At 36.4% G+C, this 25,961-nt stretch overlaps 2 protein-coding genes and 1 long non-coding RNA gene across 16 annotated transcripts in view, besides 1 other annotated feature; 2 read left to right on the top strand and 1 right to left on the bottom strand.

Moving 5' to 3' along the window:
- The window catches only part of TRPC3 (transient receptor potential cation channel subfamily C member 3), a 77,580-nt gene extending 71,084 nt beyond the window's left edge, over nucleotides 1-6,496 (top strand). For 5 of the 6 annotated variants that reach the window (NM_001366479.2, XM_011532218.4, NM_001130698.2 and 2 more), the window contains one exon: nucleotides 1,099-6,496. In NM_001366479.2, the coding sequence (NP_001353408.1) occupies nucleotides 1,099-1,241 (143 nt within the window). In that variant the 3' untranslated portion in view covers nucleotides 1,242-6,496. The remainder of the gene's footprint in view (nucleotides 1-1,098) is intronic. The other variant, NM_003305.2, reaches the window with a different exon arrangement.
- Nucleotides 8,131-10,326, bottom strand: BBS7-DT (BBS7 divergent transcript). Its single transcript, NR_186650.1, has one exon. It is a non-coding gene; the product is annotated as a BBS7 divergent transcript (long non-coding RNA).
- Nucleotides 10,503-25,961, top strand: part of BBS7 (Bardet-Biedl syndrome 7) — a 46,146-nt gene continuing 30,687 nt past the window's right edge. For 5 of the 9 annotated variants that reach the window (XM_017008357.3, NM_176824.3, XM_047415890.1 and 2 more), the window contains exons 1-6: nucleotides 10,503-10,699; nucleotides 12,931-12,996; nucleotides 17,698-17,760; nucleotides 19,298-19,473; nucleotides 21,799-21,985; nucleotides 25,416-25,488. In XM_017008357.3, the coding sequence (XP_016863846.1) occupies nucleotides 10,664-10,699; nucleotides 12,931-12,996; nucleotides 17,698-17,760; nucleotides 19,298-19,473; nucleotides 21,799-21,985; nucleotides 25,416-25,488 (601 nt within the window). In that variant the 5' untranslated portion in view covers nucleotides 10,503-10,663. Of the gene's footprint in view, nucleotides 10,700-12,930; nucleotides 12,997-17,697; nucleotides 17,761-19,297; nucleotides 19,474-21,798; nucleotides 21,986-25,415; nucleotides 25,534-25,961 lie in introns of all 9 variants that reach the window. The other 4 variants (XM_047415889.1, XM_011532080.4, XM_011532081.4 and 1 more) reach the window with 1 other exon arrangement.
- Nucleotides 10,573-10,802: an enhancer, noted in NCBI's record as "active region_21872". NCBI's record gives its function as "activates an Ori minimal core promoter by ATAC-STARR-seq in GM12878 lymphoblastoid cells {active_cell/tissue: GM12878}" and the evidence as "EXISTENCE:reporter gene assay evidence [ECO:0000049][PMID:35858748]".

The raw sequence follows: 25,961 nt of genomic DNA, 5'->3' as shown, positions 1-25,961 counted from the left end.
GCACTTTTTTTTTTTTTTGCCACAAAAGGGCTCCTCAAATGTTTTGTGTGTATTCCTGAGTTAGAATTCTTTTCAAATAAAAATGCTCTGACTTTTATATAATAGAAGAATATTGAAATTATACTTTAAAGCATATTAAAGATACCAGGAAATATCATCAAAGGTGTGTTTTAAATGCCATTTTATTATAAAAACCTAAGTCAATGGTTTGAAGAATCATTTCTTAGATTCAAGGTAAATTCTTGCTCCAACATTCACTTTTGAAGGTCAGTGGTTTATCTACATTACGGTCACTTGCAAGAGAATCCAGTGTTTCTTTTCTTTTCTTTTTTAACCAAATACTGCCTCTCCTTGAAGAGAATCCAGTTTTTAATTGCAATATACGTATGCTCAAAATACTGCCAAACTGAATTATGGGAGCAATTTATTTTTATAGCCCAAACTCTCCTATTCTCTTCAGGAATATATTGTCAGTGGTATCATATCTAAACTCCTCAATTGCACTGTTGCTTGTTACTTCCTTACGCATTAGTCCTTTGTGCTGGACAAACTAATGTCTTCATGTCCATTGCCATTGCCTTCCCTAATAAACACTCCTTACTCTTTTTTCTTTCTTTCCCTTACTTCATATTTGCCTTGAAATTATTTGCCTGTCAGATAGATTGATTCATTTTTAGTAAAATTTAGTTTTTCTAGGATTCCCTTTGATCCTAGCAATGGGAGATATTTGATGCAGGTGTCAACCTTTACACTTGAAAGAAACAAAGGGACTCCCTTGTAGTCAGAAAGGAGATATCTTGGCTATAGATCAGTTAACAGAGAATCACCTTATGTTAAAATGTAGGTCAACAAAAGGACAATACTTTAAGCTGAGTGTTACTTTAAAAAATATAGCTGGACTATTTTTATAGCTTTTTTCAAAGGTCAGTGTACCTTTAAAGACAGATGTTTCTTAAATATTTTAAAGAAAAAACTTTGAAGTAGCTACCTTGGAGACCTTATGAAGCAAATACATTGATATTGTAAGAATTTCACTCTTTGTTCATTTCTAAATCCAAAGAGCAACTTACCAATAATTTTTTAATATCAATACTATAGGTGAATTAAAAGAAATCAAGCAAGATATCTCCAGCCTTCGTTATGAACTTTTGGAAGACAAGAGCCAAGCAACTGAGGAATTAGCCATTCTAATTCATAAACTTAGTGAGAAACTGAATCCCAGCATGCTGAGATGTGAATGATGCAGCAACCTGGATTTGGCTTTGACTATAGCACAAATGTGGGCAATAATATTTCTAAGTATGAAATACTTGAAAAACTATGATGTAAATTTTTAGTATTAACTACCTTTATCATGTGAACCTTTAAAAGTTAGCTCTTAATGGTTTTATTGTTTTATCACATGAAAATGCATTTTATTTGTCTGCTTTGACATTACAGTGGCATACCATTGTGTTGAAAAGCCCAATATTACTATATTATTGAAACTTTTATTCATTTTAGAGTAAACTCCACATCTTTGCACTACCTGTTTGCCTCCAAGAGACTATCAGTTCCTTGGGGACAGGGACCATGTCTTATTCATCTTTGTGTCTCCAGCATCTAGTACAGTGCCTGGTATATAGTAGGTGCTCAATAAATGTTGAAACCAACTGAACTGCCAACAAAATAAAAATAAAAAGTCTTCACTATGTAGCATACCTTCCCTTGTCCAAGTTCTGAAGAGGTTTTTTTTTTTTTTTTTTAATAGAAACTGAAGACATTTTACAACCAGCTATGACTTGGTAAGACATTCTTAGAATTTTAGGTGTCACTGATAATCCTAGAACCACTGAGCCCCAAGTGAAGAATTTAACAACAAAATGGGTTAATGAAAAATATAATTACATTGTATATTTAAGTTTCATAGAATTATTTAAAACAACACATTAAAGATTTTTCTAAAATATAGACTGCTTGCTTTCTGTCTTAGACTTACGTTTGTTGTTTTTCAGTAATGTGATTTTCTTTTAAGTTGGGGGTTATGCAGGGTTGTCATTTTGTTATAACCATCTAATTTCTGCCTCTGCTGCTTTAATGCTAAATGAGATATCAACAGCTGACTTCATATCTCACCTGTGAGCTCCCTGCTGAGTTTTGGAGGGTCTGCTCATGGGAAGAAATAGGAAAGAGCAGTGACTATGGGCGTACTTGGAAAGACATGGCCAAGCATCCCCAGGTGTGTTTCAGTTCCTTTTGGGGCATTTATTGCCATCGTTGCTTACAATGATTGACATCTTTGTTTCTTATCAAAGGATTCCAGTTCCACTTTCTATATAAAATATATTGTGATATATCTACATATGCCTTATTACATAATTGTGCTGAATGCTGGTAATATCCGCAATGCCTCTTGACTTTAATGGGAAAAGGCATGCAGACCAGTAAGTTCCCCAGTCACTTCAGAGACTATAAAACACTCAAAGCATTTTTTAACCAGCTAGGTTTAAATCTCTCATAGAGTTATGTTTAACATCCTGAGTCTGCAGTCAGTTGCTGTCAAGTCGTATAGGAATACGAATTGTGATCATAGATCAAAGATTTTCAGAGGTCCTTAAAACCAACTAAATACATGCTACTTTAAAATCATTGCTATCATGCAGAAAAGCTCTTTAGACATGAAGACAGAAATAAGTGTTAAATGGAACTACATAAAGCTCTTTAAAGATTATTTCTTAATTTCTACTTTTTGGGAGTTAAATTAAGAAAGGAACTTTATAAATGTTTTGCTACCATTGTAGAACACTTCATTAACTTTTGTGCCATGCTAAGAGTATTCGTCTTAAACATTTTTCAAACTTTATGTACTTTATGTTGTGTCTCAGAACTGAATAAAATATTGAATTTTTCCATTGTTATATGTTACCATATGTTAAGATAGTAAAGATACAAAGTTTCTATAATAGATGTTTCTGATAGTTTTATAGTATGGTCCAGGATTCCAAGTGTGAAAAGTTTTTGCTTATAGCTATGGAACTGAATATTTTGTAATTTTCTTCTTTGCGGTTGGAAAAAATGTTGAATGAAAAAGTGGCAGATTCAGCTGGGGACATTCAGCCTAAGATTCTTGGAATCTGAAGATCAGAGAAGTATGAAGATAAGCCTCATGGTATCCACACCATGTGGATAAAAAGCTGACTTTTTTTTTTTTTTTTTTTTGTCCATGCCCCTCACAACTGTAGAGCTCTTAACAGGCATTTTTTCTTTATTTACTATGTACAAACTGGTATAGTTTTAATATTTCATCTTTTTCCTTATTCATCATTTCAAGGTGTTGTTTCAGAAGAAGGTGTGATGACAAGGTGTAGTGAGTGTGGTTGATGTTTTTGATGCCCTGCCCAGATGCCCTCTACTGGACCAGTGCACCTGTCTCCCAGATTCTCCTGTGCAGTTCCTAGCCAATCACTTCCCCTGGAGAATTGCCCTCAGCTAAAAAGAAGAAGCCTTGCTCGGGATGTGATGCCTCCGCCTCCCCATGGCCAGTGACTGATGGGTGGGGGCACAAAGGGCTGGCCCCTTGTCTCAAGATGGGGCCAACTATTCAGTGCAGTTCATGCTCCAGAGCTCCTGAAAGGATTAGGGTGATGCCAGACTCAAGCTGAGATGAAATCCTGGTTTAGATTCTTCCTCTGCCTTTTCCAGTTTCCTTCCTTCCCTTTCTCCAGAGAGCATCCCCTTAATGAGTCACCACATCCAAATCTTATTAGGTTTTGCTTTTAGGGAACTCACACTAAGCCATAAGGTATTAATGTGGTAGCATACGGTTGAGATGAGGATTAGTCGAGGGGATTGCTGTCAGAATTAGTCCTTCACTTGAGGATAAAGATAGCTCTGGGTCAGCAAGTCTTTTCCCTAGTCACTTTTAACAGGTACCTTTGGGAAAACAAACCTCAAAGAAGTTGTTGGGGCAACTCAGAGAAGGGAGCATTTAAACAGGACCAAAAACAACTTTATAGAAAAAAACATTAATTAAAGGATTGTCAAAGCCCCAGGACTCTTTTTTCCTTAGGACATCTCTCATTTTTTACCTCTTTGCTATTCTTATTTTTTTCTCATTTACAGATAAAGAAAAGAAAGCAACACTCAAAGTGCTTCTTAGACTTATTGTTCGAAAAGTTGGGTACTTTGTAAGTGCCTGCTGTATTGAATTTACAGAGCACCCATGACTTTATGGAAGTCACAATCTGTTGAAAAGTTTGGGTTCTTAGACTTGAAATAATGAGAAAACTTTGAAAAATGGTACAGAGTATCTTTACAGAGTTTATGCACAATAAAAACAAAAATGATATGTTGTGATTATTAAAAGCAAATTTGGTACAATTTAGGATAACTATCTTACCCAATATGTCAATATATTTATATTTCAAATGTGCAAGCCAAGTGAAAGCAGCTTTTGTAAATGGGAAGATAAATTGTCTGATGGACAATGTCTAAAGAGAACTGAAGCCACACTAATGACTGTGGTATGGGACAAACCATTTAACTTCTCTGGTCTTCATAAATGGTTCAGGCAAACAGGGTTATGCTACATCAGGGGTTCCTAGTCCCTGGAGCTCATAGAGGTGTTTTAGGAGGTTAATGTCATCATCCAAGGTGGTAATCTTTCTTTCCATGTCTTTTTAAATTTTTTAAATAAAGTTTTTAAAATACATTTTTAGAGGCGGGTCTCACTATGTTGTCCAGGCTAGTCTTTAACTTTTGGCCTCAAGCGATCCTCCTGCCTCAGCCTCCCAAAATCAGGCTGGGCACAGTGGTGCACACCTGTAATCGCAGCACTTTGGGACGTTGAAGCAGGTCGATGGCTTCAGTTCAGGAGTTCGAGACCAGCAGGGCAACATGGTGAAACTGTCTCTACAAAAAATACAAAAAAAATTAGCCGGGCATGGTGGCATGTGTCTGTGGTTCCAGTTACTCAGGAGGCTGGGGTGAGAGGATAACTTGAGCCCAGGAAGTTGAGGCTGCAGTGAGCTGGTTCACGCCACTGCACTCCAGCCTGGGTGACAAAGTGAACCACCCCCCACAAAAAAAAAAAAAAAAAAAAAAAAAAATCTAAAATGGGTATTTATAACTTTGTTCAGTTTAAAAAAGAGTTTGAGAATTTCTAAATTTATACCATGTGTTAGGGGAAACTAATGTTTTTACTCATGACTCAGTCACTCAGCTGACCACCACTAGCGTGTTGATGGTTTTAACTTTAATGCAGTTTAAATTGCTTTTATTTTTAGCCATAAGTTGTTTAACTTATACTCATAATGGTTGCTTTAGCACCATAACATAAGGTTATAAATTACTGAGGTGCATGGTAATTCTGCAAATTTGTCTCTAAAGTGGTCTTTGTCACATCTGAGAGGCAGCCATCTTCTGTTGAGTTTTATAAAGACCACCAAGATGTCTCTGATACCCTAAAACATCTTTAAAAAGAGGACACACAGTGGTAATTTAACTTGACATTTTCTTTATTGTGAATAAAAATTCCTTACCCTGCTAATTAATTATTTGAGGAATACTTAAAATTAGTAGGTTGAAATCTTTACTAATCATTTAGAAACAAAACATAGTATGTACTTTAAAAATAATAAATTGCATTTTTAGATGCAAAATCAAAGAATTCCAAATATCATATTATGCAAACTTTTTGTATTGTTTTGATGCTATATCATAGCCTCATTTCACTGTTTTAAAATAAATTTGAGCTTCAAAATAAACTTTTACTTTCCTTCTACACAATTAATTGAACAGTGGACATCACTTGCTAAATGGAAAGTAAGCACTGCCAGCATTGTCTGTCTTTGGTGTTTTTTTTTTTACCTATTTATTAGAACCATAGTATTTCTTCATTATTAATTTGTATGAACTATTTTTTAAGATATTAACTCTTTTCTCCTATATTTTTGTTTTCATTTAAACATTGTTGTGACATATTGAAATGTTTATCTTTACTTTTCATTTTTTTTAAGTTAGTTTTTTGTTTGTTTTTTAGAGATGGGGCCTTGCTATTTTGCCCAGGCTGGATTGTTGGGCTCAAGCAATCTTGAGCCTCAGCCTTCAAATAGCTGAGACTACAGGCATGTAACACCATATCTGCTTTTTTCCTTTGTGGTTTCTTCTATTCCTTTTGAGATCAGTTTCCTTCTGTTATGGGCTGAATTGTGTCCCCTCAAAACTCATGTTAAAGTCCTCGCCTTCAGTATCTCAGACTATAACTATAGTTGGAGATAGGGTCTTTAAAGAGGTAATTAATTTAAAATGAGATAATATGACTGGTGTGCTTATAAAAAGACAAGATGAGACACAGACAGACATAGAGGGAGGACCACGTGAAGACACGGAGAAGATGACGATCTATAAGCCAAGAAGAGAGGCCTCTGAAGATCGGTTTTATTCCCTGCTGACACCTTGATCTATGACTTCTAGACTCCAAGACTGTGAGAAAATAAATTTCTGTTGTTGAAAAGCCTCCCAGTGTGTACTACTTTGCTATGGCAGCCCTAGCAAACTAATACTATATCCTCCAACCTCCAAAATTCTGTAAAATGCTATACAATTCTATTTTCTTCTGTCTTTTCTATGGCTTTATTTTTCAGTTGACTTCTAAAATTTATTTGTATTTTTTTCTTGAATCTAAATTGATATATATTTCCCCCAAATTGCTGAACAGCTAACCCATCTACATGTATTGTCTATTTTAATGTGGGATTATTTTAGCCTCAGAGATATAATTGTCTGGAACACAGGGAAAACTTTTTCAGATATTGCTGCAGTAAATAACTTCTCTTCTTAAGAAGCACCTCTTCTCAGGGATTTAATTCTTTTTGTTTCACAATTATTTGTGAACTCTTTCCTGGAAAACCACAGTGGCTCATGTCTGTAATCCCAGAACTTTGGGAGGCTGAGGTGGGCGGACCACTCGAGCCCAGGAGTTCAATACCAGCCTGGGCAACATGGCAAAACTCCATCTCTACAAAAAAAAAAAAAAAGAAAGAAAGAAAAAGAAAAACCACAAGAATCAGGAAAGTAGCTGTATCTGAACTTATCTGTATTTCCCCAGGCAGAGCTCTATGCACATTAAGGAAGGACCGATGAAAGTGAGTCAAAGAATGTCAGCTCTTAAATCCTGGGTCACTATGGGTCAGTAGTAGTCTGTGGGGCCCCGAGGGGCAGGGGTGGTTCCTGAGGCCTTTTCACAGCTGTCTGCAATTTTGAAACTATTTTCATAACACTAAGTTGTGATTTGCCATTTCACTCTGCTGACATTTGCACTGATGGTACCGAAACAATGGTGGTTAATACTGCTAGTGCTTAAGCATAAATCAAAATAGTGGCTCCAAACTGTACTAGTAGACACCATATTCTATATAACATGCACTGATAGGAAACAAAAACCATTTCATATAAAAATGTTCTTAACGAAGCAGCAACATTGTTAATATTATCTTTTTTTCTTTTTTCTTTCTTCTGATTCAGCCCTCATTTATTACATCTTAACTCTTGAATATGTCTTTTTAAATGTTCTATGTGAGGACATAAGAAGTATGTATAAAATCCTTCTACTGAATACTGAAATACATTAGTTGTCTCAAGGAAAAGCACTTGTGGGATTGAGCTGCTAGCTGAACTTCCTGCTTTTTTCATGGGACACTTTTTATTTGAAGGAATTACTCACAAATTATGATTATTCAGACTTAGATATCTGGCATTTACTTTCTTGTGAATTCAAGAAGGGAACCTATCAGTTCAAGGAAAACAATCGACATTTCTTGCCAATGTGTAAATTTCAAACTTTCAAGCACAAATTTGAATTTTGGAAAATATGTATTCACCATCTAAGTTTGACAGATCTCCCATACTCGGGACTTTACTGATGAGATCCATGGTGATACTAACAGATGGAATTTTTTGATGTTGTGTAACAAAGTCACATTTCACATTGCAACTAACCTTTCAAAAAACTACTACTTGTTGAGTTTGGACCAAATTTTCTTCATATACATGAACAAAAACAACATATAACAATAGATTGAATGCAGTAGCAGATTTGAAGCTCCTCCTGTCTACTATTAAAATGGACAGAAAATAGATTTGCGCACAGTACCAGTTATTTTATTTTTTTATTTTGGAAAATATTTTTTTCATTAAGATATTTGTCATAGGTTTTTAAAAAACACTAATTGTTTTCAGTTCTAATGTCTAATATGGTAAAAATCAATAGGTAACTCATATAAACAAATGGTCTTTATACTTTCCAAAGCAATCTACAGATTCAGTGCAATTCCCATCAAAATATCATTACTACTTTTCACAGAACTAAAAAAAAAATTCTAAAATTCATATGGAACCAAAAGACAGCCTGAATAGCCAAAGCAATAATAAGCAAAAAGAACAAATCTGGAGGCATCACGTTACCACACTTCAAATTATACTGCAAGGCAAGTTACCAAAACAGCATGGTACAGGTAAAATAAATAAATAAATAAATAAAGACACATAGACCAATGGAACAGAATAGAGAACCCAGAAATAAAGCCAAGTACTTACAGTCAACTGATCTTCAACAAAGCATACAAAAACATAAATTGGGAAAAGGGCGCCCTATTCAATAAATGGTGCTGGGAAAACTAGTTTAGCCACAGGTAGAAGAATGAAACTGGATTCCCATCTCTCACCTTATACAAAAATCAACTCAAGATGAATCAAAGACTTAAATCTAAGACCTGAAACCACAAAAATTTTAGAAGATAACATTGGAAAAACTCTTTTGGACATTAGCCAAATGCAACAAAAACAAAAATAAATAAATGGGACCTAAATAAACTAAAAAGCTTCTGCACAGCAAAAGAAATAATCAGTAAACAGCCCATAGAGTAAAAGAAAATATTTTCAAACTGTGCATCTGATAAAGGACTTGTACCTAGAATCTACAAGGAACTCAAACAAATCAGCTAGAAAAAAACAATCCCATCAAAAAGTGGGCAAAGGACATTTTTCAAAAGAAGATATACAAATAGCCAACAAACATGAAAAGATGCTCAACATCACTAAATCACCAGGGAAATGCAAATTAAAACCACAGTGAGATACCACCTTACTCCTGCAATAATGGCCATGAGGCAGGCGGATCACGAGGTCAGGAGTTCGAGACCAGCCTGGCCAACATGGCAAAACCCTGTTTCTACTAAAAATACAAAAATCAGCCAGGCGTGGTGGCGGGCACCTGTAATCCCAGCTACTCGGGAGGCTGAGGCAGGAGAATCACTTGAACCCGGGAGCCGGAGGTTGCAGTGAGCCGAGATAGTGCCATTGCACTCCAGACTGGGGGACAAGAGCAAGACTCTGTCTCAAAAAAAAAAAAATAAACATAAAAAATAAAATTTAGAAAATATACGTTGGTGTCGATATGGTGAAAAGGGAACACTTTTGCACTGCTTGGGGGATGTAAATTAATACCACCACTATGGAAAACAGTATAAAGTTTCCTTAAATAAATAAATAAAGGTGGAGCTACCATTCAATCCAGCAATCCCACTACTGGGTATCTACCCAAAGGAAAAAGACACATATACACGCATGTTTATAGCAGCATAAGTCGCAATTGCAAAGATATGGGGCCAACCTAAGTGCCCATTGACTAACGAGTGGATAAAGAAAATGTAGTATATATACACCATTGAATACTACTCAGCCATAAAAAGGAACGAAATAATATCTTTTGGCAGCAACTTGGATGGAACTGGAGGCCATTATTCTAAGTGAAGTAACTTAGGAATAGAAAACCAAATACTGCATGTTCAGTTATGAGGATGCAAAGACATACAGAGCGATATAATGGATTCTGGGAACTCCAGGTAGGGAGGAGATTGGGAGCGGGGTGAGGGATAAAATACTACATATTGGGTACAGTGTACACTGGTGGGTGACGGGTACACTAAAATCTCGGAATTCGCCACTCAAGAGCTCATCCATGTAACCAAAACCCGCCTGTACACCCAAAACTATTGAAATAAAAAAAACATTAAAAATGAGAGAAAACCCACAAAAAGCAAATGGTCTTTGTGCTCCTCAACGGTTTTTAAGAGTCTTGTAAATAAGTCCTAAGGCCAAAAGTCTAAGAACCGCTGCTGTAAGCTAGCACCTATAACGGTGGAACCTAATTCTTTGTAGGACCCTTTCCAATGTCAGAGTGAAATCGGTCAGAATCTAGCAGGCTTATCTAGTTTTTTCTACAGCGATAAGGAAAGAAGTCCAGTATTAGCCCTGGGCCGCGGTGAGGGTGGAGCCAAGACTGCGTCTGGGGTCTCTGTGGAAACCGCCCTGTATGGGTCTCCCGGACCTCGCCTCTTTTGTTCCTCTCCGCCTCTGATTGGAACACGCTGTCAGTGGGCGGTGCTTCGGGAAAGGGGCGGGCCTTCATCTTCTTCCAGGAGCCCCTCGCAGCAGCGTACTGACGTCACGCAGGACGCCACTGCCCTGTCGCCCCGCCTGTGCAGCCCAGGACCTAGGCGCGGTAGCTGGGGCTGGCTTTTGAGGGGCGCGGGCAGCCTTCTGACTGGGTCGGAGGCCTGCGGGCCCGAAGCCTCTGTCCCTCCTGTTCTTGTCCGGCGCTGCTTAGCCCCTCCGCGTAGTCATCATGGATCTGATTTTAAACCGAATGGATTATCTGCAGGTAAACCCAAGGGATAGGGCGGGCGCCGCGCTGGGCAAGCCCAGCACCCGGAGAGGATTCCTTCCTTCCACTGACGAAAGTCTCGGTCGCCAGGAGCTGGTGCGGAGGCGAAGGAGCCGGGCTGGGTGCCGACCTCTCAGCACCCCGCCTTTGGGCAGCTCCCTTTCGTCTGTGACGGTCCGAGGGGACCGGGGAAAAGCGGCACAAGCCCCCACGGTACTGGCTTCTGCCGGGTCCTGAGGATGCTCTGAAAATGTGACACTGTCTCATCCCGGATTCCCCCCAGGGCCCTTCTCCTCCTCCCTAGCCGTGGCTGCCTGAGGGCCTCTAATCCTCAATCTCCATCTCTACCCGGACCCTTTTGCGGAGCACCAGGCACTTGTTTCTTACTGTGAGCTGTACCGCACCAGGCAGATCATGGTAAAAGCAATGAAAACCGGGCCGGGGGCAGTGGCTCACGCCTGTTATCCCAGCACTTTGGGAGGCCGAGGCGGGCGGATCACCTAAGGTCAGCAGTTCGAGACCAGCCTAGCCTACATGGTTAAACCTCTTCTCTACAAAAAGTACAAAAATTAGCCCGGTGTGGTGGCGGGCGCCTGTAATCCCAGGTACTCGGGAGGTTAAGGCAGGAGAATCGCTTGAACTCGGGAGGCGGAGGCTGCAGTGAGCTGACATCATGCCACTGCACTCCAGCTGGGGCGACAGAGCGAGACTGTCTCGAAAGGGGGAAAAAAAGCAATGACAACAGTTTAATGTGCATCTAGCTTATTCTAAGAATTTAGCATACCTACCAACATATTTAATCCTCATAAGAATTTGCAAAGTAGACAATATTATAAATGAGGATCTAAGGGGTTAGAGAAGGCAAGTAATTTGCTTAATAGCTAAAAATTAGGGAGTGGCTATTTGAATCAAAGTCTCGGACTCCAGAACTGGTGTATTTTTGTTACACTACACTGCCTTTCAGAATTTCTTTCAGACCTAAAATTCTCTCTACCCCAATTCCTCATCATATTTTTAGGCCACCTCATTTTAGTTAATGGTACAAATGTTTGCCCAGTCAATTTTCTAGGGGTTTATGCTATGTACTTCCATATCCAACTGGTCACCACATCTTACTGCTTTTAACTCCCAAATATCTCTTGAATCTGTCCCATATCTTCCATCTCTATTACCCTCATTTGGGTTCTCATCTTCTCTTGCTTGAATAATTGAAATAACCTCCAAATTGGGCTCCTGAACTCCAGCTTCATCTCCCTCCAAGCCATCCTTCACATCACTTGCTAGATTGATGTTTCAGAAATACAAATCTAAGCAGATGACTTTAATACAATTTTCTGGAATGCAGAATAAAGTCATTTATACTATATGAACGTTTTATCATGATGTGTTGTTTTCACCAATTCCTCTCCCATTGGTCCCATCCTCTTCTCCTAACTATACACCAGCAGTGACAGTTCCCTGCTGCTTTCATCCTCTGTATTTTTTTGTAAAATAATCTTCACCTGTTAGATTGGATGTTATGGCCATTATCATATTTGGTATTTTAGCATAAATCTTCTTTTTTTTTTTTTTTTTTTTTTTTTTTTTTTTGAAACAGGGTCTTGTTCTGTCACGCAGCCAGTCTGGAGTACAGTGGCATGATCATGACTCACCACAGCCTCAAATTCCTGGACTCAAGTTATCCTCCTGCCTCAGCCTTCCAAGTAGTTGGGCCTGCAGGCATGCACCACCATGCCTAGCTAATTTTTTATTTTTTGTAGAGACAGAGTCTCCCTGTGTTGCCTAGATGGTGTTGAACACCTGGGCTCAAGTGATCCTCCCACTTCAGCCTCCCAAAGTGCTGAGATTACAGGCATGAGCCACTGCATGTGGTCTTCCGTTGCATTTTTAATAACTATAATCTATTTTCAAAGTTCTTGAATCACTTTGCTGAACAACTGTATGCAGTTGGAAAAGAAGGCTTCTAGAGATATTTTTTAGTAAAGCATCTTGCCAGTCATCTTACACAACTATTTTTGGCTTGACAACTTTATAGGATAAATTTTACTATTTTGGTTGTTTCCTATATGTATTCTGACTAATATGACATATCTCATTAGAAAATAAATTAATTACTGATAATAGTTATATCACTAATTTCAGTTTAACAAAAAGGTTCACTATAACTTATTTTAATCTCTGTAATAACTTCAAATTAAATTCACTAGGCATCTGGTGTTTTTCTTTAGGTGGGAGTAACATCTCAGAAGACTATGAAGCTAATTCCTGCCTCAAGACACAGAGCTACACAAAAGGTACTGTATAGATTCTGATTTCTCCACTATTCCCTAGCAGTGACAGAGGAGAGGCTCCTATTTCCTTCTTTATTATTAAGTTATTCTCTTAAAAATGCTAATGTTAAAATGGAAATGAATTTTTTAATTTGAACAGAAACTGGAATACCAAGGGACATTTATAGACAATAATTTTCTTGGACATTAAAATTATTATATACCATTAGTAAACAGTGTAGGCAAACTTAAAAACCATACTCCATTTTTTCTGTGTGTCAGATGTGTATATGAAAAAAGAAATATAAAGCAGAATAAGGTATCAAGAAAATGTTCTCTTTAAACTTTCTCATATTTTAAAGTCATTAAATATTTTGATGTTAAACTGTACTTAACTAACAATATTGATTATGTTTAAAGAAATGTTGATCCTATGATTTCCACAAAACAATTATAGTTTCTTAGTAGACTAGCCAAATATTTTAATAGCTGCAAAAAAATACTTTATCCTGATATATAAACATTTTAGCAAGATGAATCAACAATTACACATAGTACTAGAAGTCCTAGCCAGAGCAATTATACAAGAAAAAGAAATAAAGTGCATCCAGATTGGAAAGGAGAGTCAAATTATCTCTGTTTGCCGATGACATGATCCTATATATAGAAAAACCTAAAGACTCTACCAAAAAACTCTTAGAACTGACAAATGAATTCAGTAAAGTTGCAGGATACAAAATTAATATACTGAAATTAGTAGTGTTTCTATACACAACAAACTAGCTGAAAAAGAAATCAAGAACACAATCCCAATTATAATAGATAAAAGATAAAATACTTAGGAATAAATTAACCAAGGAAATGAAAGACCTCTATAAAAAAAACTATAAAACACTGATGAAAGAAATTAAAGAGGATACCAACAAATGGAAAAACATCCCATGTTCATGGATTGGAAGAATTAATTTTGTTAAAATAACAATACAACCCAAAGCAATCTACAGATTCAATGCAATCTCTATCGAAATACCAATGTCATTTTTCACAGGAAGAGAAAAAAAATCTTAAAATTTGTATGGAACCACAAAGACCCCAAATAGCCAAAACAATCCTGAGTAAAAGGAACAAAGCTGGGGCATTACACTACCAGATCTCAAAATATACTACAAAGCTGTAGTAACCAAAACAGCATAATACTGGCATAAAAACACAGAGACACAGAGAACATAAAATGGAATAGAGAACTCAGAAATTAATCCACATATCTACAACCAACTGATTTTTGACAAAAGAGCCAAGAACAGCCCCTGGGGAAAGGACAGCCTCTTCAATAAATGGTGCTGGGAAAACTGAATATTCATATGCAGAAGGATGAAACCAAGACCCCCACCTCTCACCCCATATAAAAATGAACACAAAATGGATCAGAGACCTAAATGTGGCCAGGTGTGGTGGCTCACACTTGTAATCCCTGCAGTTTGGGAGGCCAAGGCGAGTGGATCACTTGAGGTCAGGAGTTCAAGACCAGCCTGGCCAACATGGTGAAACCCTATCTCTACTAGAAATACAAAAAAATTAGCTTGTCATTGTGGCAGGCACCTGTAATCCCAGCTACTCAGGAGAGGAAGACTCCATCTCAAAAAAACAAAACAAAACAAAACAAAAAACAAAAAAAGACCTAAATGTTAATGCTTTAGGACATTGGTCTGGGAAAATAGTTAATGAATAAGACCTCAAAAACACAAACAACAAAAGCAAAAATAAACAAGTGGGATCATATCAAACCAAAAAGCTTCTACACAGGAAAGGAAACAATCAACAAGAGTGAAAAGACAATCTATAGAATGGGATTTAAAATATTTGCAAACTACTCATCCAACAAGGAATTAATATCCAGAATATACAAGGAACTCAAACATACCAATAGCAAACAAACAAGCAATCTGATTAAAAAGTGGGCAAATGATCTAAACATTTCTCAGAAGAATACATACAAATGACCAAAAAAACATGAAAAAATACTTAACATCATTAATCATCAGGAAAATGGCAAATCAAACCACAATGAAGTATCATCTTACCCCAGTTAGAATGGCTGTTATCAAAAAGACAAGAAAACAAAAAACCAAAAAACAACAAATACTGGCAAGAATGTGGAGAAAGGAAACTCTTCTGTGCCATTGGTGGGATAGTACATCCACTATAGTGAACAGTATGTAGGATTTTTCAAAAACTACAAATAGGGCGACCATATGATTTAGCAACCCCACTGCTGGGAATTTACCCAAAGGAAAGGAAATCATCATATCAAAGAGACAACTGCAGCCTCATGTTTTATTGCAGCACTGTTCACAATAGCCAAGATATGGAATCAGCCTGGGTGTTTAACAACAGATGAATGTATAAAAAAAAGTGGTATATATACACAATGGAATACTATTCAGCAATAAAAAATAATGAAATCCTGGCCAGGCATGGTGACTCACGCCTGTAATCCCAGCACTTTGGGAGGCTGAGGCGGGCGGATCACCTGAGGTCAGCAGTTGGAGACCAGCCTGGCCAACATGGTGAAACCCCATCTGTACTAAAAATACAAAAATTAGCCAGGCACGATGGCAGGCATCTGTAATTCCAGCTACTTGGGGGGCTGACATGGGAGAATCGCTTGAACCCAGGAGGCAGAGGTTGCAGTGAGCTGAGATGGCACCTTTGCACTCCAGCCTGGCCGACAAGGGCAAAACTCTGTCTCAAAAAAAAAAAAAAGAGAGAGAAGAATGAAATCCTATCATTTGCAGTAACATGGATGGAACTGGAGGACATTATGTTTAGTGAAATAAGCCAGGAACAGAAAGTTGAACACCACATGTTCTCATTAATATGTGGAAGCTAAAAAAAGTTGGTCACGTTAAAGTAAAAAGTAGGACAGAGAATACTAGAGGCTGCAAAGGGTAGAGGGAAGGGAGGGATAGGGAGATATTTATTAAAGGATATAAAATTATAGCTAGATAGGAAGAAAAAACTCAAGTAGTCTATACCACTATAGGATGACTATAGTTAACAATATATAGTTTCAAATAGCTAAAAAGAAGGTATTGACTGATCCTAACCCAGAGAAATGATCAGTATTTTAGATGATGGATATGCTAATTATCCCAGTGTGATCAGTATATGTTATATGTATTGAAACATTGCTATGTACCCCACGAATATGTACAATTGTTGTCAATTAAAAAATAAATGAATAAAATAAAAAAGATAAACCAACAGATTTCTGATTGTCATTTACTGTATTAAGTCTACTAGATTAGCACTTCTCAAAATTTTTGGTCTCAGCACCCCTTTACACAATTAAATGATTGAGGATCCCAAAGAACATTTGTTTATGTAAGTTGTATGTATCAATACTTACTATATTAAAATGAAAACTAAGAAATGCTTAAACTATTTTATTTTAAAAAAATTATTACATGTTTACATAACATGTCTTTATGAAAAATAACTATTTTTCAAAACAAAGAATTTAGTGAGTATAGTGTCATTATGTTATACTTTTTGCAACTTGTTTAATGTCCTGGCATAAGCATACACACATAGATTTTCATATTTGTTTACTGCATTCAATCTGCTGTGCTATGTTGTTTTGGCTGAAATATTTGAAGAAAATCCAGCTTACACAGATACATAGCTGGAAATAAGGAGGGGTATTTAAATAGCTTTTTCAGATGATTGTGACTCTCTGTTTGATACTATGCCTAAACTTGATAAGTAGTAGTTTCTTAAATCAGAGCTCCCAGAGTTTTTTAGCACCAGGAACCAGTTTCGTGGAAGACAGTTTTTCCACCAATGGGGCTGGGATTGTTTTGGGATGAAACTGTGTTCTACCTCAGATCATCAGGCATTAGTTAGATTCTCATAAGGAGCATACAACCATGCGCAGTTCACAATAGGGTTTGTGCTTCTATGAGAATCTAATGACGCTGCTGATCTGACGGGAGGCGGAGCTCAGTCTGTAAATGATCACTTTCCCGCTGCTCACCTCCTGCTGTGTGGCCTGGTACCCAGCAGGCCACGTACTGGAACTGGTCTAAGGTTGTTTGATATCTACTTTTGAGGAAGAAGTGTTAAAATGTCCCTCTATATTTATTTCAAAACAATTCATTGTCTACATGTTGGTAATTGTTGAAACTAGGTGATAGGCACATGATAATTCATTATAATATTTTGTGTACATTTTCATACATTAAAATTTTTCTTTTAAAAAAGGTGTTTAAAATTATTAAATATGTCAGTCACAACTTTATTTGATAATCTGTTTTAAAAGTTAATCTTAAAATGTTCTTATGCTCCAGTTATGAAAAAAAAATTACTTTGTAGGCATTTCTGTCCATAACTGTTGTCTGGCAGTATACCTTCGTAACAACCTGCATGTGGACTCCCAGAACCTACAATAAAAGTTGAAAAAAAGCAAAACAAAATATATTGTGTTGTCCTATTAACATTATAGGAACAAAATCTATGGCCAATTACTTTTCTAATGACTCTCCATATCCTTCTCTTTTGGCTCTTGTTCTTTTGAGGATTATTTTTTGTGGGGGTGTCTTTCCTAGATTTTCTGATCTCTATTAAGTCAGTATTTATAAATTAAGAATCTTGCTTTCCCTGTATATAATTATTAGGTCATAATATTAATAATAGTAATTTTAGATTATCTTCCATCTATTACAGGTGGTTATTGGAGATCATGATGGGGTAGTTATGTGCTTTGGCATGAAGAAAGGAGAAGCAGCAGTAAGTATAGCTTTGTGAAGGGGAAAAATGGTTTTCTAAAAGAGAATGCACTATTTATTGAATAATACTAGGTTAAAAATTTCCTAAAATACAGGTAATGGAAAATGGGTTCTGAGGTAAGTAGTTATGTGAGATATGAGTCTGCGGGTAGCACAAAAGTAATTTGCTAGCTAGTTGTAAGGCACCTTTGGCATCCTGTGGTCGTGGGTTACTTTTCTATGCTGTGTAATATATTACCCCAAATTTAGGGCCTTAACACAACACACATTTATTATCTAACAGTTTCTGTAGCACAGGAGTTTGTGCTCAAGGTTTCACACAGCTGCAATTTAGATGTCAGCTGAGCTGTGTTCCTTTCTAGAGTGTGGGGTCTTATTCCAAGCTCATGTGGTTGTTTGCAGAATTCAGTTCCTTGCTATTATAGGACTGAGGTCCCCACTTTATTAACATCTGTAAACCAGGGGCTGCTCTCAATTCCTTGAGGTCTCTGCAATTTCTTGCTCTGTGGTTCTCTTACAGTCCTTCTCACAACATGGTAATCTAATTCATCAAAGCCAGCAGGAAATTTCTGTAGTCTGCTAAGAAAGAATCTTATGTAGCATAATGTAATCATGGAAGCAACTAACCCACAACCTTTTCCACTTAATTTAACCTAATCAAGGAAGTTATTACTATTACATTATCATATTTACAGATCATAATTAGAAACTTAGAATGATGAGTCTGAGATGTGAATTCTAGTATTCATTATATATTATATGGAATTTCCAGAAAGATGAAGAGAATAAAAACTACCAGAAACTCAGTGTTTCCATTATTCATATTCTCCCAGATATCTTATTCTCTGTATATAAAGTCATGGGGAGGAAGTGGAGGAGAAGAAGCTGGTGCAAATAATAAAATGGAAAATAACCACAAAAAAATTAATGAAATGAATATTGTTTTCAGTTAAATAGATATATGATTATAGGTATTAAGTCATACATTCACATTTTCAGTAAATTCTATAGTCCTTTAACTATTAAAATTTATAAAAATTGTAAAGAAGCCAGGAAAGATTAGTTTTAAAAGATGATTGAAGTGTAAAAACATGTTCATTGGACCTCATTAAAGAATTTGCCAAATGGACTTCCCTGTTCGTAGGAGTATTGTTAATCCAATGCCTCTAAAACTTCAGTAGGCATAGGAACCAGCTGGGGAATCTTGTTAAAATACAGATTCTCATTCAGTTGATCTGCTGCATTTTAAATAAATTTAGTGATGCTAACATTGCTGCTTAGTGAACTGTACTTTGAATTACAAGGATTTAGATTTCAATGACATCATTCAAATATGTGTGGGAATATATATTTAAAAGTTAAGTATAGCAAAAAACCTGAAGACCTGCTGAAGTATATAGATTATTATCTAAAATTATTTCTATATAGTGGAACTATAATATTTTGCAAATTTAACATCATAACATTTTCTATTGTAAAGGAAAAAATGCTCACAATAAAGTAATTTGTGTACTTTTTTCCTGAATGATTTTTTTCAGGCAGTGTTCAAGACTTTACCCGGGCCGAAGATTGCAAGGCTGGAACTGGGAGGGGTTATCAACACACCTCAGGAGAAAATTTTTATTGCTGCAGCATCTGAGATTAGAGGCTTCACAAAAAGAGGAAAACAGTTCCTCTCCTTTGAAACAAACCTCACTGAAAGCATTAAAGCTATGTATGTCTTTTGTTCTCTTTTGTATTTTTACATACTTATTTATAATATTTTGGATAGATGTGAGGCAACTAAGTATCATATCTTAATAGGCTTTCTGGAAAATAAAATTAACTAAAGGTATTTTATTAGTCAGAAACTAAATTTGACCTACAATCAATATTAAATTGGTTGTTGAAATTTTTTTAAAGAACTTTATAGTATTTATACAATCATTTTTGACAACTTGGTTCAGTTTGATTCATGATCAAGGTATCAAAAAAATTGAAAATAAATCTAGATATTTAGCTTTATGTTCCTTGGCTATTTTTGATAGTTCTGGTTTTCAGGTAGCATCATTATGTTAAAAGGCTGGCTGTCAAAGTTAGTGATTACCAATAGGGTATAATTTCAGGTATATCAGGTAAGACTCTAAGTGAAATATAGCTCCCTAAATGGCTGCCTGATATGTGAGATTTTGCAATTCAGATTTGAGTTTTTGAATCACAGGGAGCTGAAAAGGGCTTTAAAATTCATCTAATTCATTATTTCTTATATTTGCTACTTAGAAGAATCCCTTGGGCCACTTAAACAATTCCTTGTCCTACCTCATACCTGCCGAATCAAAATAACCAGGAGTAGGTTTTATTTTTATTTTTTAAGTTCTTCCTTTGAATCTAGTGCAGCCAAGTTATATAATCAGCCAGACTCTTAGGCTAGAAACAACTGATTCAGCCCAAAGTTTTGTATAATGCACAGCACATCTCCTGATGTTTGGGATGTAAAACATTGGCTTGGTGAAATTAGATTAAAATTAAACCATGATAAGTGGAAATATGTAATTTCAAATGGTTTAACAAGAATAGTAACACTTTTGAAATACACTTGTATATAGACATGGCCAATGATAATTATGGAATACTGAAAGTAATGTGTTAATAGCATAACTCTACATTCGGACAGTTATATGGATAGTAGTGTGAGAAAGATAGAGAGTTTCTCAGTAACAGTCTCTTCAAGTGGTTTCTTAAATGTTTTTACTAGAGTGGCAAAGATGGGATAGAAAAGTTCTTTACTCAATTTTTGAAAATTGATTGTCTGAATCCCCACATTTGTAAGGTTTTATAGGAAAACAAAAGTTATAACTTGAAGATATTCAGTAAGGAAACTGACCACTTAACATTAGTCACCACATATCCTTTCCTGCTTAATGTTGCCATGTATCCCCACTCATGTCAACAATAGAGATTGCTAAATAGTACTTTGGCCAATATAATGCAAATATAATACAGATTGGTTTCAAAATGGAATTTAAAATTTTGAAAAACATAGAGAATTTCATGAAATTGATAAAAATAGTAAGAGGACTATTCAATCATATGCAGAGCCACAAAGTGAGGCCACTTAATAACTGAAGAATAGAAAATCAGGGAGGATTATTATAGGATAAGCTCTTCAGAGAATAATTTTAATATAAAATTTTTTAATAGAACTTGGAGGTAGAGGAATACATGAAACATTCAAATAAAATTACCCTCTTTATGATAAATATGGTAATAACAACCTAGAAGTGAAAAATATATCACACTTAAATATAATTTTTGTCAAGACATTTTAGCTCACCCAAGTGAAAACTCAGTTCAGTCTAAGAATTAGAATATAGTTATGACTATTGACTAAATTTTGTTAAATGTAATATGAAATAAACTTGTTTTCATTTCTTTTTTCAAGATAAAGTTCTAATGAAATCTTTTTTTTTCTGCTGTTTATCATTTAGTTTGAGGTAGAATCACTTAAAATAGACTTTTTCAGGCAATTTAGTGTGGTAGTAAGAAAGCTAACTCGAGCAAAAAACTGAGTTGCAGTCTAATCTACTACTTAATACTTAGGTGCCATTAGGCAAGTTATTTTACATTTTATTATTCACCTGTAAAAGGAATAATAATGGTCCTTATTTTATAGAGTTATGATGATTAATTGATCTAATACATAAAAATCACTTAAGATAGTGCTTGGCACATAGTACACAAAGAAGTCATTTTTTGATGTATTAATTGTCTTTGGATATAGACAGTTAAATTATCATTATCTTGTCTTTGTTTTCCATTTTTCTGAGCTCAGTTTTTATTGAGAAGCCCGAGGCCTTAACATCCTCATTTTCAGCTTTCAAAATCAAAAACAGTGTTATACCAAAAATACTAGGAATTAACTAGGAGAAAGTTTTAAAAACTGTGTTCTCTAAGTCTATAATAAAATGTTAGTAAACTGTATACATTTTTCTGTTTTTATCTCTGAAAAAAATTCAGTACCTGTGCTTATTTTTAAAAATTACTATTTTAATGTTCTCAGGCACATATCTGGCTCAGACCTCTTTCTCAGTGCAAGTTACATCTATAACCATTATTGTGACTGCAAAGACCAACATTATTACCTTTCTGGGGATAAAATCAATGATGTGATCTGCCTTCCAGTGGAAAGATTATCTCGTATCACACCTGTATTGGCCTGCCAGGACAGAGTGCTCAGAGTTTTACAGGTTGCTGTTATTTGTATTTTTCTAATTTTTTATATTATGTGAAAGAATATCAATGAACATTATGTACTTGAGATAAATTAGTGGTTACTGTTTTAAGGGCTTTTATAAACATGTGGAAACAATTTTTAAATAATTTGACATATTAATTTTTTTAACTTGAGTCAAATGTGTTGTTTTGTAAGTTTTTAAGAGAAGCATATTTGGAAGAAAAAGGATTTTTTTTGCCTCACCATACACAATTTCTGAGCTATTATCAGAATGGAGTACTTTGACTACAGAGAACCTTTACCTGCCTTTTTGTTTTGTTTTCTTCTTCCATCACCTTTATCTTCCCCAAAAATCAAATTAAAGGAAGAAATTGGGTTGGAGGGAGGATGTTATATAACTTGAGTTTATCCAGTGTTTATGGAAGTATATGGAATAAGCACTCAGTAAATATATGTTGGATAAGTAAATGAGTGATAGAGGGAAAATTCATTTTGATGTCCTTATATTTCTGGTAAAAACCACGATTGGCTAAAACAACTGCTTCAGGTCATTGTTATGAGTAATAATAGTTACCACTATATCTTCTTGAGAGTGACTTTCAATAAAATATATGCACACACACACACACACACACTCTATAGGATGCTTAAAATAATGTTTAAAGGTAAATAGCATGTAACAGTTAGATGAACTGTATCAGAAACAGGCTGATATAGTTGGTGCAGTTGATGAAAAAGTTGAGCTGTGAAGTCCATGCCACCACAGGCTATCTCACTCTTTGGAATTCCATAGTCAGATGGCCATTTCTTGGCATCAGCCCTTTTGTAAAAGGAAAAATCCAGTGAGTCTATGAGGTTTTTACCCCCCAGGGACAAAGTAATGTTAAAGGTTCATTTTAGGCCAGGCATGGTGGCTCACACCTGTAATTCCAGCACTTTTGGAGGCTGAGACGGGAAGATCATTTGAGGCCAGGAGTTTGAGACCAGCCTGGCCAACATGGTGAAACCCTGTCTCTACTAAAAATACAAAATTAGCTGGGTGCAGTAGCACACACCTGTAATCCCAGTTACTCAGGAGGCTGAAGCACAAGAATCACTCGAACCCAGGAGGCGGAGGTTGCGGTGAGCTGAAATTGCATCACTGCACTCCAGCCTGGGCAACAGAGGGAGACTCCATCTCAAAAAAAAAAAAAAAAGAAAAGAAAAAAGGTTCATTTTAGAGTTATGAATGATTAATTTCCCCCATAGCCTATGCTTTTAAATATGAATTGTTTTGAACAAGGCTTTTAACAGGAGCTGTTTAGCATTCAATTAGAAATTGACTGAATTCTAGGATTCTGCTTTGACAAGAGATCCATATGCTTATTATTTTTAAAATAATTACTAAAGATCTGTAGAAAATAAAGTTGAAGTCTTTCCCTCTGCACCGCATGCTTTTTTCTCACTCCCCGTCTATCTCTGTGAATAATCCATTACTCCAGAGGTTGCCTCTTTTTAACAGTTTTGTGTATATTCTTTTGTGTTTATATAGTTACGTGTAGATATCTGTAAATTTTAATATGATATTTTAAATAAAAGATAAAACAGGCTGGGCACAGCGGCTCAGGCCTATTACCCCAGCACTTTGGGAGGCCGAGGTTGGAGGATCACTTGACTCCAGGAATTCAAGACCAGCCTGGGCAACATAGCGAGACCCCCATCTCTTAAAAAAAATTTAGCTGGGCATGGTGGTGCATGCCAGTAGTCCCAGCTACTCAGGAAGCTGAGGTGGGAACATCATTTGAGCCCAGAAGGTCGAGGCTGCGGTAAGCTATGATCACACCACTGCACTGCACTCCAGCCTGGATGACAGAGTCAGATCCTGGCTCAAAAAAAAAAAAAAAGATAAAGCATATGGCTTTCTTACGTTTTCTAAATAAACATTAAACTTTTTTTAGTCCTGATGTGGTGGCTCACGCCTGTAATCCCAGCACTGTGGGAGGCTGAGGCAGATGGATCACCTGAGGTCAGGAGTTCAAGACCAGTCTGGCCAACATGGTGAAACTTTGTCTCTACTAAAAATACAAAACTTAGCCAGGCATGGTGGCCTGCACCTGTAATCCAGCTACTCGGGCAGCTGAGACAGGAGAATCACTTAAACCCGGAAGGTGGAGGTTGCAGCGAGCTGAGGTCACAGCATTGCATTTCAGCCTGGGCAACAAAGCAAGATTCCATCTCAAAAAAAAAAAAACATTAAAACAAAAATGTCATACCATATTAACTATAATTTTGCAAATTGTGTTTTCTTTTTTTTTTGAGATGGAGTCTTGCTCTGTCGCCCAGGCTGGAGTAGTGGTGCAATCTTGGCTCACTGCGACCTCTGCTTCCCGGGTTCAAGCAATTCTCCTCCTTTAGCCTCCTGAGTAGCTGGGATTACAGGCATGCACCACCACACCTGGCTAATTTTGTATTTTTAGTAGAGACGGTTTCACCATGTTGGTCAGGCTGGTCTTGAACTCCTGACCTGATGATCCACCCGTCTTGGCCTCCGGAAGTGCTGGGATTACAGGCATAAGCCACCACACCCCATTTTGCAAATTTTGTATTCATTGAATTATAGATCATGGATATTTTTTCCATGTGAGTATAAGTACTTCTAACTCATTCTTTAACAGCATCACAAATACTGTGCCCAAAATGACAAGCATTACAAGTAGCAAAATTGAAAAACTGATAAATATATAAGGACCTAACTTGTTTTTTTATCTAAGTAGCAGGTCATTCAGCCTCTGACTGGAGCAGATTTTGGGAATACCCAAAGGCAAGGCCAAAATTTTCCTTAGGAAGTAACTTTGTGTCTGTTAAAATATTTGGATGTATTCCAAGTTAAAGACTTCCAGTTAACCTAGAGAGGGCAGAGGGAATAATTTGTTCCTAGAGACTTGATAGGAAAATCTGCCAGTGTCAAGTTTTCAGGCAAACAATGTATTTAAAATGTATTAAAGGTAGAGAATATTTTAAATGTTTTCTTCTTGGTCTTTACATTTTATATATATATATATACACACATATATATGTACATATACATATACACATGTACATGTACACATATATACATATATACACATACATGTATGTACATATATGTACATATACATATATACACATACATGTGCATATATGTATACATATGTGTATATATGTATACATGTGTGTACATATCTGTATATATACGTATATATGTATACATTTATACGTATATATGTGTATATATGTTGTTTTCAAATCAGTTGATATATGCAAAATTGCTAACAAATGCAAGTTGTATTCGTAACCTAATTTTTAAAGCAATTTTATTCTAGGTGTTACTAAGAGTACTGTATTTGAATATTGATGTTATTCATGAATGCCTCTATTATTTTCAGTTTGTATTCTGTTTCAGTTTTTAAATACTTCTCCTTCAGGGATCTGATGTGATGTATGCAGTTGAAGTTCCTGGACCCCCTACTGTCTTAGCACTACACAATGGAAATGGCGGTAATCAGGATTTTATTTTTCACAAATCAACTATGTGTTTTAATAGTAAGTGAAAATGGGAAATTGTAGAAAGGACATAAACTAGAATTGAGACAGTTGTCTTTCTGGTAACTTGCCAGTAACTAACAGCACGAGTTATTGAACTTTTAATTCTCCGTTTTTTTCTTTTTTGGGGGGCTGGGGGGCAGGGTCTCACTCTGTCTCCCAGGCTGGCGTGCAGTGGTACAATCTCAGCTCACCACGGCCTCGACCTCCCAGGCTCAAGGGATCCTCCCACCTCAGCCTCCCTAGTACTACAGGCGCACACCACCATGCCCGGCTAGGTTTTTGGTATTTTTTATAGAGACAGGGTTTCGCCATGTTGCCCAGGTTAGTCTGGAACTCCTGGGCTCAAGGGATCCTCTCACCTCAGTCTCCCAAAGTGCTGGGATTACAGGCATGAGCCACGGCACCCAACCTAGTTTCTTCATCTT

The sequence above is a fragment of the Homo sapiens genome, chromosome 4 (assembly GCF_000001405.40).
Source record: "Homo sapiens chromosome 4, GRCh38.p14 Primary Assembly".
Lineage (NCBI taxonomy): Eukaryota > Metazoa > Chordata > Mammalia > Primates > Hominidae > Homo > Homo sapiens.
Note: the sequence above shows the minus strand (reverse complement) of the source record. Positions and strands in the feature narration are given on the sequence as shown.